Here is a 19,017-nt window from a genome sequence, read left to right on the forward strand (position 1 = left end):
GCTCACCTAGGGGAACCTTCTTGCTATATGCTTGTGTAATTGTTTATACACTTCTCTAAAACAGCATTTACTTCATTGTTTGGTATTGCTTCTGACTATCTCTCCCATTATTCTGTGAATTCCTTGAGGGTAGAGACCAAGTCTAGTATGCCTCAAATACCCTTGAAGCATTTAGCACAGTATTTTATATACAATAAGAGCTTAATAGATTCTTGTAGAATAGATAGTGCATGAATGAATTAGAAATGGCCAGTAATAAATGAAGAGAGGCCCTTGCCAGAGTTCCCTGGCTTTTGCCACGACTATTCTTGGAAGCTTCCCCATCTTGGTCTACAGATTGCTAGGAATTTCTTATTTGTTCACCATAACTTGTTTCTCCTATCTTTTCCAATATCCCTTTAATTTGGTGTGGCCATGGAACTGTTTTCGTTGCAGTGGGGTGTAGAAGAAGGGATGTGTACCACTTCCAGGTCTGAACTTCAAAAAGTCCGTACTCTATCCTCCACATTTCCCTTTCTGCTGGCTGGAGAATGCCCGGGGTGAACTTGGAAGCCAAGATTTGAGGGCAGCAGAGCCTCTGTTATTCTGAATCTTTAAGTGACTGCTTGAAGTAGAGCCCTCCCCCTACCCCATCAATTGCCAACCAAGAACACCTGCACTGAACTGTTACATGAATAAGAAACTTCCATTGCATAAAATCACTGCAATTTGGGGTTTTATTTATTCATTTATTTATATTTTATAACAACTAACATTGCCCTAACTAGTACAGGACCCAATAGAATTTTCTTAGGTCAAAACAGGTTCTGAGTGTGGTGAATATTATATAGAGGGCAGAGCTATATTCTGGCAAGCCTCCCTGTTGTCTCTGGCCTCCCATTTTTCAGAAAAAGGTCACTCGTGGTATGAGGCAGCTGGGCAGTTTTGGCATGGTAGGCTGGGGGTGAGAAGATTAGGATCTATTTCTGGTCTGTCTCCCACTGGCTTTGGGTTTCCAGCCAAGGAAAATTACAGCACGGATGCTAAAACAACCCACCTAAGGGGAAAATACATAAAAATGAAAACAATTGCCCCAGCAGAAAGGCAGGTGATGATGATTTCTGCCACAGGAGAGCATAATGAATGCTCTTATGACTCCACTCGTTCAAGCTTCAGTAGTCCTAATGCACGATGCCTTCAAATCCTGCAGAAGCTGCTTACTGATTCCAAGCCTGGCCAGCTAAGAGGAACATTTTGACCTTTCTTTGGTGCAGGCAGACTGCAGATGTACCAATCAAAATGTCTCCGTCCTTGTCAGTGTCAACTTCCTAAGCCATAGGATGAATATTGAGTTTACTTAGTTAAAAGACAAACAAATAAAAAATGCCAGAAGGTGCAGCATATTGCTGGAACCCACCAATCAGTGCTCCCGGAGGCAGACTTTTCGCCTGAAGTGTAATCTGTTTTAAAGCAGGTGTCCCATCACAGCCACATCCTGTGAACCAGCTCCTTGAGTGTTCATTGCCCACTCAGAGGAGGGAGAGCTATTTCTTATCTTCACCTACCAGACTTTTCTGTGTTTGCTTCTATGGGGAAGGAATCACAGCAATTGTTTTCTAGGATCAAAGTTTTCTCAAAGAGTCAGAGATTCTTAATTCCCCCATGCCAAGGATTAAAGATTCTCCCACCCTTCCTATCAGTATCTGCCACCATATTAGTTTCTTTTTGTGTCCCTAGGACTGGTTGTCCCATCTGACCCTCAGCCATCACTGACATTTAAGTATCTAGTAGGCATCAGAATCACTTGGAGAACATCTTACACATGAGTCTCATGGGTCTCACTCTTTGGGATTCTGATTCAGCACACATAAGATGAGGATCGGGATTCTGCCATTTTGATGGATACTCCAGGTGAATCTGGTGCTGATGGATGTGAGACCACACATTTAGGAACATCCTTTCCTTATGGCTGTGGGTGATCTTTCTATAACACAAATGGGTTCATAATATACACTTCAGAAAATTCTTTAATGGTCTCTCTTGCCACCAGGTCAGGTCTAAACTCCTTAGATGGAAAATGAGTGCTCATTAGGAACTGGCCCTTAATCATTTCTCCAGCTTCAGTTCTCATCAGCTCTCCCTTTGTCTTCTTCACTTCAGTCATTCTGTGTTACTTTCAGGATCTGCTGTACTTTCTTTCACTGCTTTGTGAGTGTTACTCCCTCTCTGCCCGAAACTCTTCTCTCTGCCCTCAGTCTTTACATGGCCAACTTACAGTCAGATGAGACCTCCCTTCTCTTTCAGAAACTTTGTCACTCTTTCCTAAGGAAAGGCCTTTCCTCTATGTGCTTAGAGCTCTCTTTCTGCCCCCACAGAGAGTACTTCTTACCAGGTGTGGTGTCCACCCTTCACCTGTAGGTGGAGTGTCACCCACTAGAGCCAGAGCCCCTTGTGGCAGGAATCATGTACTCATTTTCAGGTCTCCAGGGAGTTGGGTTAAGGGACAGGGCTGTGGACGGTGGGCAGAACTGGATCTGAAGGGCAGCTGCCCAAGCTCCCCCTCCGTAAGAGGAGCCAGACATCACTGGAATCACTTGGGAACAGTTTCTGCTCCCATGAAAATAGGAGTCTCAAGGAGACATGATAAAACAGTCATGCTGGTGCAGGCCCAATGCTGTTGAGTATTTTTGCAAGATCATCTTGCTCTTGCAGTCAATGCAAGTTGGAAAACTGAAAAGAAGTGGCCCAGCACTGTTTAGAGGAGCACTGGATTGTTGTTACGCCCGAGATGCTCTTAATTTGGATGCTTCACCCAAACATTCCACCACATTAAAGTACCTGCGTCCTACATTGAACTAAGTGATAGCACTTGGGATGACAGAGCACTAAGGTGGAAGGAACACAGGTCTCGAAAAGACTGGAGAAGAGCTGGCTGCCACCCTCGCTCCTGTCAGGACTGTCACCTAAGAGAGAAAGACCTTTCTCAGTAGGACACCGTATGGTTGGGTCTGTTACAGAAATTTAGCCTTCACTCTAATACAAATAGCATCATGCCCCCTATGCAAACTTGTCAGGAAGAAGAGCCTGACTCAGGAATGAGTTCTCCATCTCTTGCCCAAAACGTCTCCTGCAAGGAAAGCTCTGCAGAGAAAACAAGCTGGTGAAGCTTAGCCTGACTGTTCCATGCACACACTTAGTAATCCACACAATTAACCCAAAAAGCCTCATTCCCTCTTTCTTACCTCCCCTGAAGAAACAAACAAAAGAAATGAAAAACGAACATTAGAAATGTCAAGAGTAGAAGCACTTTCTTCCTTTGAGAATTCAGAATTTGGGTGCCCACCATCAATTAATACCAGGGAAATAACAGGAAATTCTCTGGAGGGGAATGTGAAAAAAGGAGGTACTTGCTTTTCAGTTCTCTGACTAATGAGTCTAGGGAAAGCCAATATCTTTCTTTTGCAGGCAGTTGCTACCTTCTCACAAACACCCCTACTGCATTTACATTCAACAGCTCCTAGCCTCCCAGGAAACAACAGAACCTTGCCTTTTCTGGCTTCTCTAGAGCCTGCAAAGTAGACATCACTGATCCCATTCTCTAAATGGGAAAACGGAGGCTCAGGGGTTGAGTGATTTACTTAAAGTGCAGCATAAGCAAGCAAAGAAGCCAGCAGGAGATAAGAGCTTGCCTAACTCCCCAGTCAATTTTTATTTCCCCAGATAACACAGCACCAAAATAAACCTACATCAACACCATATGGTATCAGCAAAGCAGGGGGATATTGGGCACTCGTATTAAAATGGGCTATAAAGGAAAGATAGTTGGGATGCATGAGTAGTCAGGGAGCAAACTATCCTTTTGATAATTCTCATCATTTTTAGTTCAGTAAACCAGGATGACATGAGTTTGGAGGGAGGGGGACAACTTTACCAACACCTATCCAGTTCTTGTTCTCAACACAAGTTATAATAAGTCACAATTGTTATGAATGCCTGATAGGCAACAACTTAATTCAGCAGGCTTTGAATTCTTGCTTGTGAAACATTCTTCTTGGCTAGCAATCTTGAGGTACCTTTAAAGGACTTTTCTTGAGTTTTGTAATGAAAATGCATTGTGTTCTTTTGGGATAAGCTGTTTCAGGATTTTCTTCAGTGCTAGTATGAAACTTAGATTTAGTAAAACTACTTTGCAAACCTGTTAACATATAACAGCCACCAACTAATCCAATAAACAGTCTCCTGCACACACAATGCATCCCACTAGGCTGCCGTAAGGGGCAAATACAATTTGTCTATAGAATTAGTTTTCGCAGTTAGAGTCCCTGTTTTGGGTGTGTGATATCCTGTGAACTACAAGCAGATTTAGTGTCCCTAAACAGATGGGCTTTCCCTTTATGGGCCACTTTTAAGTTTTCTAAGCAAACCGCAGCTGCGCTAACGTCCCTTTGTGTAAAGGATTGTATGTTGAACCACTTCCCTTTACCTGATGTGTATTCCCAGTTTTGAGCCAGGAACAACTGGGATATGACATCTACAGAAAAAGAAGATTTGTTTCTTCATGCTCTTTAGGACTGGCTGCTATAGGCAGGAAAAGCTTCTCTGAATATCAGTGAGTATATCACTAGTTGCAAACAACAAACCGACCTAATCTAATTGAAGCAGGAAAGGCAGTTTGGTAAAGAATTTTTGGTGGCTCAGGGAATTTCTAGGAAGCCATAGAATCAAGCTAGGAGGGTCTAAAGATAGAAACTGCGCCCCAGCTGCACTGCCGGACTGCTGCATGGGTCAGATACCATTGCCTCCCCGCCTGCTTGTCCTAAGATACCATGGCCAGGACCTCTGACCACGCTGCCCCTGAGCTGCATGCCTGTCTGCCACCTGACGAGAATGTACTCGTCGTGGCATCACCTTCTTCGTGACCTTCTCTTTCAAAAGGAAATCTCATGGTGCACATCTGGTCCCATGGCTCGACTCTAGCTGTGCTGGAGGCTGAGAAAGCAAGTGTCTAACCTCTACCTTCAGAAGGTAGAGAAGGAAGATCTCTCAAACATTGGAAGGCTGTTCAAAGGGTAAATAGTGATCCATAACATAAAACACACCCACACATTTATCTTTTGGCTGTGCAACAGCCCTAAAAACCTTCTTCTGTACTGAAATTCTCAACAATTACAATCACAAGAACAAAATGCTTCTGCCTAACGTCATGCAATTATTTCTTGTACAAATGAAAATGTGCACGCTCTCTCCTCAAAGGAGGGGCAAGACAAAATCTCCTCAGTTTTTTTATCCCAGGAGTTGTCCACCTTCTCCAGTTTAGCCACAATGCCATCTCGGTGTTCTGTGATCCAGGCACTAAAATGCAGTTATTTACCACCCTGTTCCTACCCATATATCCTATACAACTGTAAAGGAAGCAGAAAGGAGGAAAAAGAGAAGAATAGTCTGTATATAGACACAGCAAGGAAGAAAAATGTTTATGCTATTGTTTCTGCAAGTGGTCATGTGGATATGGGTGGTTTTTATGGCATCCTTTCTCCACAACTATGCTAATGTGGTTTAGCTCTGTGTCCCCACCCAAATCTCATGTTGAATTGTAATTCCCAATACTGAGAGAGGGAGCTGGTGGGAGGTGATTGAATCATGGGGACAGATTTCCCCCATGCTGTTCTCATGATACAGAACTCTCACTCTCATGAGAGAGTTCTCAGGAGATCTGATGGTTTAAAAGTGTGTGGCACATCCCCCTTCACTCTTTCTTCTGCCGCCATGTGAAAACATGCTTGCTTCCCCTTTGCCCTTCTGCCATGATTTTAAGTTTCCTGAGTCCTCCCAGCCATGCTTCCTGTACAGCCTATGGAACGGTGAGTCAATTAAACCCCTTTTCTTCATAAATTACCCAGTCTCAGGTAGTTCTTTATAGCAGTGTGAGAATGGACTAATACACATGCTGATACGGTTTGGCTTTGTGTCCCCACCAAAATCTCATTTCCAATTGTAATCCCCACATGTTGAGGGAGGGATCTGTAATCCCCACGTGTCAAAGGAGGGAAGTGATTGGATTATGGGGGAACTTTCACCATGCTGTTTTCACATGATAGTGAGTGAGTTCTCATGAGATCTGGTGGTTTCATAAACGGTAGTTTTTCCTGCATGGACACTTCTCTCTCCTGCCACCATGTGAAGAAGGTTCTTGCTTCCCCTTCGCCTTCCACCATGATTGTAAGTTTCCTGAGGTCTCCCCAGCCATGTGGAGCTGTGAGTCAATTAAACCTCTTTCCTTTATAAATTACCCAGTCTCAAGTAGTTCTTTATAGCAGTGTGAGAACAGACTAATACACATGCCATGCTCTTTTTGCCTTTACAACCAGCATGTCAGCATGTCAGCATGTCAGCAGGCTAGGATTCTTTACCTGATGAGGTGACTCTTACAATCTTTATTAATGGAGGATAATATCTCTTTGTGATCCTTCCTGTATGTGGTTGCTGTAGTCTTCCACTGAGCTTTACCACTGGACATGGCAATACACAAAGGTGCCCAGAAGGATCTCCCAGGTTCCAGAAATACTCCTTGTATAAAATGGTATAAATTACCCTATTTTGTCTTGTTAATCAGAATCAATTGCCCCAGTCAACACTGAAAACTCCTTTATTGCTTAATTTTCCAGTGGCAGGAAGAATTCAAAATAGCCTCTTCTTGACAAGAAGAAGTCTTATTTTCTAATTCAATTGAAACATTCTGCGTTCCTAGTGGAACCATTCTTCCCCTGGGCACTAAGATCTTTAAGTTGGCAGAACTGAGAATTACAGGGATCAAAAGCAAAATATTGGAATAGGGCCATTAGATGTAATATTGAGAAGTACCCCTCCTGCTTTCACCCTTTTGTTCTGAATTCCATGCACTTTGATTATAGAAAAGCAAATAGTAGCATAAATTTTGCATGGTTCAGAGAAATGCACCACATCTTAAACACAACACCAAACTCATAAGGTGTTGTCTTCCAGCTGGCATAACAACTACTGAGGTTTCAATAAATATTTTCACCATTCTGCAAGTCTACTTCCTTCTTGGTAATGGACTAGGACCAATAACAATATTCAGAATTTTCCAAATCACTGAAAGCTTCTTATATGTCCTCAATTTCAATTCTCAAGGTCCCTTTCTTTTATATTAAAGCCCTAACTCTGACATAAAAGACTTGATAAGGCTATAATTTCCACTGACATTGTAATTTGGCAACTCCATCAGGATGAAACTCAGGCTTTAGCTATGTACCTGAAAGGGATGGTTTATCATAGCATTAGGTGGTCCCTCTATCCCTGACCATGCCCTAAGCTGGGAATTCAAACTCTCCAGTGCAGTCAGAAGTAACCCTTGAATTATTCATGTCATTCATATTGTTTAAATTCCTCATGCCACTGTATCTCCCAAGACTGACTTTCATAGGTAACCACAGGAGAATATTTAAAATACTCTACTACTATCCATTCTTTACTACTAGGTGGGGTTTTCACTGCCTTCTTACCTAGAAAACCAATACTAGAGGCCCATTTATTTGTGTCTGGGGCCTGAAACCACTCTTGAGATCAATTTCTGTATTGGTCAAGGGGTTCTTAGTTGTAAACAACACAGCCCACTTTAATATATGCAGATTTGTAATATGTTAAACCTTAAGCAGTTCACAGAGAGCCAGAAGATTAGACAGAGAACCAGTGGAACTAGAAACAATATCTAGGTGATACCACAAGCCTGCTCCAGTGGAGACTCTCCTGTTCCTGCTGCTAGCGCAGTATTATAGTTTGCCTGGTTGATACGGACACAGGACACCCGTGCTGGAACCTTTAACACCCTTCTTCTGAAAGATGACCACTTCTCCATCACTCTCTCCAATGTAGAATCTATTCAACATTTCTTTCTTCACATCACCTTTTCTAAGCTTAAATCTCACAAACGTATGTTTGATTCTAGGTCCTGGTCATATAACTGTGCCCTAGATTGCAGGGAAAGTTCGGAAACACAACTTCCAGCTTCTGTTTAGGAAATGGCAGAAGTCACAAGTGGGAAAGTGCAGTAGTATATGAAAGATGTTCAAAGCACGAATAATGTCCACTTCATATGTGGCCATCTCCCACTTTTCATTAGAGTGAAATTGTTTAATTTTGAGTAATCTATTATATCAACCTGCCAGCACATGTGAAATCATGAACACAATCAGAGAAAGGCAAGACTTCCAGAGAGTATCTGATTGAACCTCCATCCCCATACCTGGAAAGCAGAGAAATATTTATTCCCATTGCACATGTGAAGCGAGTGAGTCCTAAGGAAGCCAAGTGCCCAAGACTCTAATATACAAATTCCCACTGCAGTGTTATCTCACTTTGATTAGGATCTTCGACATCCTTGAGTGAAAGATCATGGTATACCAATCTTGGAAATGTAGAATAATCTTGCTTATAATCTTTTAAATTCTGGTCACATGTCCATGCATAAGAGAAGAATGAAAGTGTGAATAGAGACAATGGGATGCTCCAGGATTTCCTGTAGTTTTCTAAGGGAGCCATGGCAATTTTATACAAAGATGTAAGAAAACAACTCAAGTGAGCACCTTTTGCCCTGTGCTCAGCATCCACTCCCCTTTGTTTTGTAATGGTGTTTCTCTGTCACTGGGGGAATTCTCCTCACATCAGTCATGTGGTTGGTGGGACTATCAGTCCCTCCCTGCCTACAGCCATGGGTGAGTACACAACAAGGCACTGACCGACCAGCACGTTCCATCCTCCTGCTCTGGTGATGGTCACACAACCCGCCAATGCATTAAATCATAGTCTTCAGTTGGGACACTGGGTTGAGAAACTCCTGTGCTTGAAGCAGTGGGATGTATACATGGAACAGAGAGAGCTTCCTGAGAGTAAAATCAACATAGAGAAAGTCAGAGCTGGGAGCCAGTGAGAGTCTGAGTGCTGCTATGTTCAAGCTCCTGTGTCTAGTCTATCCCACCCCAGGAATGAGTTTTAGCTGCTTCAGCCACTAAATTTCTTAGGTTTATTGGTCATTATTTTTGGCTTTCATTACCTTTTGTTATGTGTCTGACACTTGCAATGGAGGGAGTCTTACCTGAAATACCTAAGCAGACTTCAGCATCATGTGTGGCTTCCGTGGTGACCTTTGGTGAGTCGTTCACCCTCTGAGATGGAGACACGGAAGACGGAGGGCCTAGAGGTCACTGAGTCTAATTCCCTGCACTTGCTATTTCCAGTTCTTCCATGAAAACAAGCGTGAAGTAAATCATTCCCACTCCCATCTGTATCAACTTGGTTTACATTCCACACAAAAAGCCGACAGGCCACTTTATTGAAGTAAAGAAATGAAGTCACCCTGGTGTGTGAATTGTTTTGAAGAAAACTCCCTTAAATCCTTGGAATTTCAATTTCAGAAGAAGAAAAAGCTACACAAATTAGTGCATTTTCCAAAAAATAAAAACTTCCTTTTATTACCAATATGGTGGAGTCTCCTATTACAGAATTCCTTGAACATCTCAGAAAAAAATTACGTACAAAACTCAATGTTTACCTTATCTACAACATACATATCTTGTCACATCACAGATCGTCTTGGCACATGAGGTTATTTCTAGCCTGGGAGGGGAAATATCTCTAGCAGAATGCCAAGGAATGTGGTACAGCTGGATGAAAGAAGCCCGGCAAGAGGAGAGTATGCATCAATGTGTCCGTCTATATAGAATTCCAGAAAATGCATGCTAACCTACAGGGGCAGAAAACAGAGCAGTAGTCACTAGGGACAGGGTGGAGGGAAGAAAGAATTGCAAATGGACACAAGAACACTTTTGGAGGTAATGGAAATGTTTGGTATCTTGATTTCACAAGTGTTTATATCTGTATGTATGTACAAGTATATGTCCAAACACATCAAGTTGTACACTTTAAATATGTAAAGCATATTGCATAGAAAATCTACCTTAAGAGGGTAGCAAAAAGAAAAGAGTATAGTACCAAACTAGGTAAATGAAGCATGAAATGAAAGACAAACTGAGCAGTGAGCTATATAGGAATTTAGAGGAAGCCTTCACCATCCTGAGTAAGTTCCTTACACCTAGAGAAGCTTTTCACAAAGTTAGATAATTATCCTTAGCATTTTCTTAAAAGACCTCTACACTAAGTTTCTCCTCCACCTGTGTGTAGTGGTACCTGCAGTTCCCACCAGTATTGTCACTCCTGCAGGGCCCCTGGAGACAGGAGCATTTAAACAGAGTGTCTGCATCATGTTGCATCATTAGCTAATGCCTTCCTTGATTTACACTGGTGGCTCCCAACCTTCCCCCTATAAACTTTATACACCAGAGAGAATCTGTGACTTTAAGGTTCAGAGGTAGTTCATATTTTTTTAAAGCAAGGAGTCTTGCATGTCAGGATAATTACCAAAACTCCCAAGCAGATCTTAAACCTCGGGCTGCACATACTGTCTGCCCAGACTCTCTATGCCCAATGTCCATCTTTCACTGCTCAGATAGAAATGAAGATGGACCATCATGGTTGTGACCACTGCTTTTGACACTGGCATTGTGTTGCCTAGAATCATGGAGCTGGCTTCTCTTTTTAGTTGTTTCTTGCCTATATAACCCCTTCCCCAAACCACACACACACACACACACACACACACACACACACACACACACACACGATAAACAAAACAAAACAAAACAAAAAAACTCCACCATACCCCCACTCCCCCTTATTCTACTTTGATTTTTTTTTTGGCTACAAAATTAGTAAGCCACTCAAATAATGCTTATGATCTTCTGTATAAATCGTTAGAAATTCTACTTTCCATGCTGACCTTGGACTGCAAAACACTAAGGTGACTAACATTGCAGAATGATCTCCTTGGATCTATAGCCGTTTAGCTGAGAGTTTGGCCTGTGGGAACAAAATATAGGACCAGTAAATTTAGACTGTAGGAAGAACATTCTAGGAGGATAAAATCAGGACCAAGGGGAGTGCCAGGTCCTGCCGGGGGTGCTAGAGATGGGAGGATGGGGTGTTGGGAGGACACGAGGGGACACTGCCCACCTTCCCGAGATTCCTCCCCTGTTCTCTATCTCAGTGGTTCTGAAGTGTGTGGCAAGCAGTCCAGACCCCCCCGTCTGGGCAGAATATCCTCCTGGGAGTCTAGAAATCACATGTCTTGTTTCCACACAGAGGAAGCAATTCAGATTTAAGTTAAGCTTTTAACTTAACCATATGCCGATCTGTGCATCTTGAGGGGGGACAAAGTGGAACTTTCACTTTGCTCTTTTTATCTGTACCCTCACACATCCACACACACAAGCCTCATTTGTGAAGATCTCTTTGAAATGTATTCACTGAAGATAATTATAGAGGTCTAACACTTCTGCTCTTCAATTAATGCTATAAAATTAATGGTCCTTCATTTTTACATCATATGCAAATGATGGTGTCATCTCCAACTGTAAACCTCTCTACTCACACACTGAATATGATTAGTGTCCCTTTAAGCAGAATTCGAGCATGTGACCTTCTGGGGTATGTCAGGAGCGAAATCTCTGCATGCTATTTCCAAGGTTTCATTATAAAACATTCTTAAAAAAGCAGAATTTCAGAGATGACATCAAAACACGTTTTAGTCACTGATCTTTTGGGGTCGTGGCCTTAGGAGAGAGCAGACAAGAGGCGGGGCACACTTTATAAATCTACTATTCTCACCTGAGAATTACCAGGCTTCACAATAAACACATTTCCAAACCAAGAACAGATAGATTCATGTAATATAACGAGGCAGGTATAGTGGAAATGCGGTAGCATTCAAATATTGTACCCATTAGAATATCCTTTTGCAAACAGACCCAGGGGAATGCTTGGTCAGAGAGTAGATGTATTTTCTTTACAAAAAGTTCTGAAAACTAATCAAAATGGCTGACTCAGTGGTTCAGAAAGGAAAAATTAAGATGTTATGATTATTTTACTTCAAGGACTGCACATCAGGGGTTTGTGACCCTGTGGCTTCTGATGAGAATGTTGGCATCTTGCAGGAATCACTGCGTGCATGTGTCTGTTCCAGGAGGTGCATTTCTACACTTTAGGCACTTGGCTGAGTTGGAAATATTGCATAGTTTGAGTGCACCCACACTCAGAGTCAATATCTTCACTCATTTGGAGAGCTTTTGTCAAATAATAGAATACCATCTGGTATTTGAGTCCTAGGGAGGGGTGTACAAGTTTAAGAGGACTGGAGGCTAAGGAAAGTGATAGAGGGACATGAAGAAAAATAAAACTAAAACAACAACAACAGAAAACACTGATCACCTCTTCTCAAGTGGGGAAAAAAAGAATTGTAAGCAGATTCAAGATACCAGGCTGGAATTGGGTCCTAGGTTGATGGATTCTGCAGTCTCTGGCAGCCTGGATTGCTTGGATTGATGGACACACTCCTGAAGCCAAGTTCAAAGAGAGTGTGCCTATTTATCCTTTGTGATCTGCTGAATTGGATGAAATGAAAATATTCAGGGATTTTTTTTTTCTCTGTGGCAAGGGAGAATTCCTTGGCTGCAGGAATACTGTCTGCAAGTTGAGGAAATTTGGGTGTCAGGAAGAGGCAGGTTTAAATAGTCTGACTTTAGCCATAGGTTTGCCCTGTGGGCGATAAGAGTTGCATATGGGAAAATTGCTAAGCTTTTGCACCCAGGTAGTGTTGTATTTCAACAAAATTTAAGAGTCTTCTAGTGTGGGTGGCATCACTTTGCACAACCCTGTTGCTGTTTTCTGGGCAGCTGTGGCTGCACCAGATAAGTAGCATTCCTGGTCCCTGCTCTGTTACATGAAGGAATTCGGGGAGATGCCCCCAGCACACTCTTCTGTATGTGTAGGATGAATCTGGGGGCTGGAGCAGAAATAGGGGCTGACTGTTACATACTTAAAATGAGGTAGAGAAAATTGCATTAACCAGAATTCCTCTGAAAGAGAGCCCTGAATATATCTGGATAAAGAAATACTTCAGCAAGTCATTTGGGGTGGAGGGTGAAACCCAAGAGTATATTCAAGTTTAAAAAGTTATTATTAAACTGCTCTGCATGAGGTAAGGAGAGGAATTTGTCACACTCTTAAAAGGGAGAGGAAAGAAAGAGAGTGAGGGGAAATGGCGGTGGGAGGCGGCAAGAGAGAGACCAGCAAGTGGTAAAATCGTGTACTCTGTGTGAGGTGAGCCACTCTACATGGTCCTGCCCTCCCATTCTTAAATAAAGTGACAAAGCTCACAAAATGCTGGGTGTGAATGGAGGTTTGTGGAACCCCCTGAAGGAGCTAAGGTTAGTGTCTGGCTGCTGTAGATGAAATAGAGGTAGCATACATGATTGCAAGCATCAGAGAGGAGGACCCCATAGGGATATTGGCCCTGGACAGTTGCAGAAACCACAGCAAGAACTTTGGACATTAACGGGTGATGGAACTGGCTGTGAATCAAGTTTATCTTGTTATCCCAAAGGTCGGGGTGGGAGGCAGCTGAATTCCAGGTAATATGTGGATAACCTTGAAGCAACCAGAATATCTAAAGATGTCTGCTGCTTCTGTGTTTTCCATGAGAAATGTTATCTAAAGTATAATGAAATCTTATAGAATCAAATATAATGACTACTTATAGAAACCAAGATATTATTTAAACAGAAAGCAAGTATAATTTCCTGTTTAGTTAGGCTGACCACTATCCAGGTAAACAGACAGCATCCAAGGCATTATGGGAGAAGCAATTCCATCCAGGCCCACTCCATCGGATAGAGAGTTTGTTTCTGGTATTTAGGGCAATTTCCAAGTAAAAGTAAATAACCCTATAGGATGTTCTAAATGATGCACTCTCTGCAATGAAACAATGTTTTTTCCCCAAAATAAATAGTCTACTAACAACTAAATGTAATAATAATCTTGTTTGGATCTTGTTTCACATTATCAACTATATACGTATATATACATATATATTTTTTTTTGAGAGGAGGGAAATTTGAATTGGGAATAAAACAAGCAAGAAATTATTGTCAACTTTGATAGGCATGATGATGGCATCATGGTTATGTAAGAGAGTGTTTATATTTTAAAAGATGCATACTTAAATACCTTTATTTAAGAGATGCAGGGTAAGATGACACAATACCCAAGATTAGCTTTAAAACACTTCGGCAAGAGAGAGAGAGAAAAAAAAGAGAGAGAAAATGGATTCAGCAAGAGGATCAAAGCCACAACAATTGTTGAATCTGGTGGATGAACATAAGGGGGCTTACTGTACTATTCTGTCTACTTTGTGCATATCTGGAATTTTCACTAACAAATTTAAAAAACAGTTCAAACAAAATAAAATTGGGCCCTCACAGTTTTCAGTGCCTTGAATATCCCAAGGGAGCTAACTTTCACCTCCTTTTACTCTTCCTTATATCTAAGGCTTAGGAGACGGTCATCATCTGTCTACCACAGATACATCACCTGTTTTCAAGTTAAAAAAAAATTTGGAAGGTGTTGTGGGATGAACTTGTCCCTCCAAAATCCGTATGTTGCAGTCTCAACCCCTAACACCTCAGAATGTGACTATATTTGGAGATACTGTCTTTAAAGAGGTAATTAAGATAAAATGAGGTCACATGGCTGGGGGCTAATTCATGTGACTGTATTTGAGTACAGGGTCTTCAGAAAGGTGATTAAGTTAAACCGAGGCTATTAAGATGGACCCTAATCCAATACGACTGGTGTCCTTTTAAGGAGGAGAGATGCCAGGGCACGTGTACACAGAGGGATGACTGTATGAAGAGGGAGCAAGAGGATGGCCGTCTGCCAGCCAAAGAAAGAGGCCTCAGCAGAGGAAACAAAACCAACCCTGCCGGCGCCTTGGTCTTGGACTCCCAGCCTCCAGAACTGTGAAAAAAATGCATTCCTGTTGATTAAGCCACCGGTCTATGGTATTTTTTTTATGGCAGCCCTTGTGAACTAGTTCTGAAGGGAATTGAACTGATAATGGATTTGCCTCAGTGGAGCTGCCTGAATGAATTCCAGGCTATTCTCTCTTCTCCCAAAAAGAAACTCACAAAAAGAAGAGGATTCCATCTTCTTTTCTCCCTTCCTTTCTTTGCTCCTGCTACAATCTCCTTCACATTGCCCGCATTCTGGTTCTGGTGCTGTTACATCTGCCAAAATACCAGGAAAAACACCACCTCCTGATTCGAGCTTTTGAATCTTCTGAGCCTACTCTGGTTTTTCAGTCCACGTCCTGATCTTTCCTTGTCTTCTTTGGACACAAATAATGAACCCTTGAAAAGGATAAAAAAAAGTTTTAAAAAGTGAACCATTCATGGAATTAGAATATAGTGGTAGCCTATAATTCTACTTTTCATCCCTCTTGAAAGAGAAACATTGTCCTAATACTTAAAGTATTTATTATATCTTAAAGGAAGGCTCTTATTTCTGGTTCAGAGATTCAATGTGGCAGTTATAATTATGTTCTGGATACAACATTGTTAAAAATTTGGATTTTCAAGCTAAAAATGATTTTTAAGTATGTAATTACCTATTAATTCCCCTGAAATTGTGATTTGCCATTTTTTTGTCATAACTCATCTGAAAAAAACTATTTTTAAAGAGAAACTCTGAACTGACACACGAGTGCCTGGGTCTTGGCATTGCTGACTCTGCAACACATGGCGATTTCAGCAGGAACAATAAACTGAAGTCATAACAATGGATAATATTTTAATATAATGGAACATAATCGTTAACTTTGCTCAACAGGAAGGAAATGAATTTTCCTCATTGTACACGAGAAAAGCAGGTATAAGAAACTTTCAAAGGATGTTCTACCCAAACAGAATGGGTTTAAGAACCGTCACAACAATAGCCTTATAGCATCTGGTGTCAGCAAACTGAACAAATGGTGCTTCTGAGGAAAGAATGTGGCTCAGTGTCTCTCAGAAATATATGTAAATGAACTTGAAATTTTAGAGGATGATTAATCCTACCCAGTAAAGTACCTTTCCCACGGGTCTTTCTCAGATCTCAGGTAAATCGTTCTTTTTATCACATTTGTCCACCCCACCCACTCAAAGTGAATATCCTATTAAACCTCCACAAACCTGTTTCAAATTAAAATGGTGCATGGTAATATTAAAGTGTGCATTTATTAAATATTCTGTGTAAGTCATAAGAAATTCAAAATATTTTTATAAGACACCTGCGACTGTGGTGTAAGTTGCTTTTTAGAAGTAATGAATCTTCAAAATTCTCTTTGATACAATTTTGATTTTGTCCTGGTACTTCCTGCTACTGTCCTTCATTGATTCTTACCTTGGCCCACTTCTGGTCATCTCTATTTCTTTTTCATTTTTCTGTCTTTATATTTCTCAGCTTCCCCAATACAAACAACTGTCTAGAATTGATACATCCCAGAATTCTCATCCAAACATTTACATCCAAGTCAGACCAAAAGAGAACAGAGACCAGATTCATTAATTCAGTGATCCAACATCAGTTAAGTAACTAAAAAGAAACCAGACCAATTTTTAACCCACTGGGGCAAAGTGACCAGTTTCTTTGATTTTTCTTTTTTTCAGTTCAGCGTATTTGGAGATCATGGACATGCAGCCACAGTTCTCTGAGGGTCACCACATAGACCTCACACAGTTTGTTTTATCGGTCTATAAGCTGGTGCATATTTCACAGTCATTCATTACTATAGAAATGGAAATATGCTACCTGTGCTCCTCCCCCACCATTATACAAGAGCCTGATTACTTGATGTGGATCAAATCACCACCCACTCCCAACGTAACTACTGCAAGTGCTGTAGTCTCATGTGACTGAGCATAAGCCCCTGAGCCGGTGTATGCTCCTTTCCTGAACTGTCAGCCCCCTACAGTGGCTATTATGACAACAGCCCTTGCTGAACCTTGTTTGTAGCTGGCAGGACTGTCTGCAACTTGCATCATTAATAAAAACTTCTTCACACCTCTACAGGTTGTCATCACAGATCAACATTTTCCCACCTACTTTACTCTTCTCCCCTCGGAAAGAAATTTCTTCTGGACACACTTGTACTCTAAGTCCTTGTGAAGCTTTGGCAAACTCTGCAATGGGCCCCCACCTTTCCTCTCCTCAGCCCTTTCCCTCCTGGGGCAGAAAGGACAGAGAAAGCAGGAGGTGGACTCCCCAAGCCACATTCCTGCACTCCTGCCAGCCTGGCTGGTGGTAGCGGTGCTTGGCTTCCCTCCAGCCTAGGGTACTCACTGCCTGGCAATAGAGCAATTTTTGAGGGGCACAGGGTTTTGTGACCAAGAGACAAAAATAAAATTAATCACAACCTTACAAATGGCAAAAAAGAAAAACTGACAGAAATAAACAAACAAACAAAACTCTGGGTTTTTAAAAATGGAAGTCTGGCTTCAGTCTTGAATATTAGGATTCTGATGAATTATGTATGAAATGACATAGTTCATGGAATAGATTTAATATGCCATATTCTTCTTTCCCCTTACCCACCGCTTCCCCTCCCCCATTCCAACAAGGCCTTGAGCTTTATGATGAAAGGTGAAATTGGGTCGGGGTTGGAGGGAACTGAGAAAGAACAGAGAAGCCAATTAAAATCAAAATAAAAATGTCTTCTTATCCTTTCCTCCTCACTTCACTTGACAATTATCTTGCACATATGAAATAGGTCTTCACTTGACCCTTCTCTAACTAACAAGGGCATCATGAGACACCAGAACTTATTTTTTTCTCTATTTGAAGCCTTAATTTTTTTCATTAGTATACTAAATACAGAGAGGTCCTGAGATATAGAAAATGCCAAAAAGCAGGCCGAGCAACTGATGGGTCATGAAGTAAAGGGAGGAACTGAAGTAATTAACTCCACGAAGACAGAGACCATGTTCTTGAAATAATCAGTAAAAGGGACCGTCTCCCAAACCCAGTGTAGATACTCAGTAATAAGAACAGCAAGAAGGACAAACCTAACATGTTGGCTGGTGATGTTCATTCATGCCTCACTTCCGTTCACAGAACTCCCTGGCAGGCATCCATAGTACCATATGCTTTGGAGAAGTGGGAATGCTGATTGTTGTCGTTATGGGGAATTGAGTCTCATTGCTTCATGAGATTCCGGGTGGCAGAAATGTTCTGAGAAAGAACGTGTCCCAATAGGTGTGCCATGGGAATCTTAGCACAGGATAGAACTTCATAGAGGACCTCCTCTAAACTCTCAATTATAAAGGTGAGGAAATGGAGGTCCAGGGAGGCAAAAATGGAGGCTCAGGGAGCTTGCCCAGCGGTCGAAATAACAATGTCGAGCTTAGCGGGAGTGATGGAATTAGGATCTGGAACTCCCGATTCTCACACTCTTTAGGCTGACTCACCACTTTCAAGCTTCAGGCTCCAGGCTCCATACTGTGGCTTTTTTTTATTTTTTAAATATATTTTAGGGGTACAAGTGCAGGTTTCTTTGATGCATATATTGTGTCATGAAGCCTGGCCTTTTAGTGTGTTCATCCCCTGAATAGTGAAGATTGTATCCAATAGGTCATTTTTCAACCCTCACCCTCCTCCTACCGCCCCACCTCTTGGAGTCTCGAACGTCTATTATTCCACTCTGCATATCCATGTATACTTATTGTTTAGCTCCCGCTTATAAGTGAGAACATGCAGTATTTGGCTTTCTGTTTCTGTGTTATTTCCTTGAAGATAATGGCTTCAGTTCCATCCATGTTGCTGCGAAAGACATAATTTCATTCTTTGTTTTTAATGGCTGAGTAGTATTCCATGATGTATACATACCACACGTTCTTTATCCAGTCTTCTATTGATGGACATTTAGGTTGATTCCATACCTTTGCTATTGTAAATAGAACTGCAATAAATATGCGAGTGCAGGTATCTTTTTGATATAATGATTTCTTTTCCTTTGGGTAGATAGCCAGTAGTGAAGTTGCTGAATTGAAGGGCAGTTAGTACTATTTTTAGTTCTTTGAGGACTATCCATACTGT

General features: G+C 41.6%; 1 long non-coding RNA gene across 1 annotated transcript; it reads right to left on the minus strand.

Moving 5' to 3' along the window:
* Positions 1 to 8,741: 8,741 nt before the first annotated feature.
* On the minus strand, positions 8,742 to 18,238 carry LOC105378995 (uncharacterized). The gene is made up of 5 exons (XR_948369.1): positions 17,988 to 18,238; positions 15,075 to 15,296; positions 10,832 to 10,911; positions 9,548 to 9,739; positions 8,742 to 8,879 (listed from the first exon to the last, which is right to left on the minus strand). It is a non-coding gene; the product is annotated as an uncharacterized LOC105378995 (long non-coding RNA).
* Between the last annotated feature and the right edge of the window lie 779 nt (positions 18,239 to 19,017).

Source organism: Homo sapiens, chromosome 5, assembly GCF_000001405.40.
Source record: "Homo sapiens chromosome 5, GRCh38.p14 Primary Assembly".
In the NCBI taxonomy this organism is placed as follows: Eukaryota; Metazoa; Chordata; class Mammalia; order Primates; family Hominidae; genus Homo; species Homo sapiens.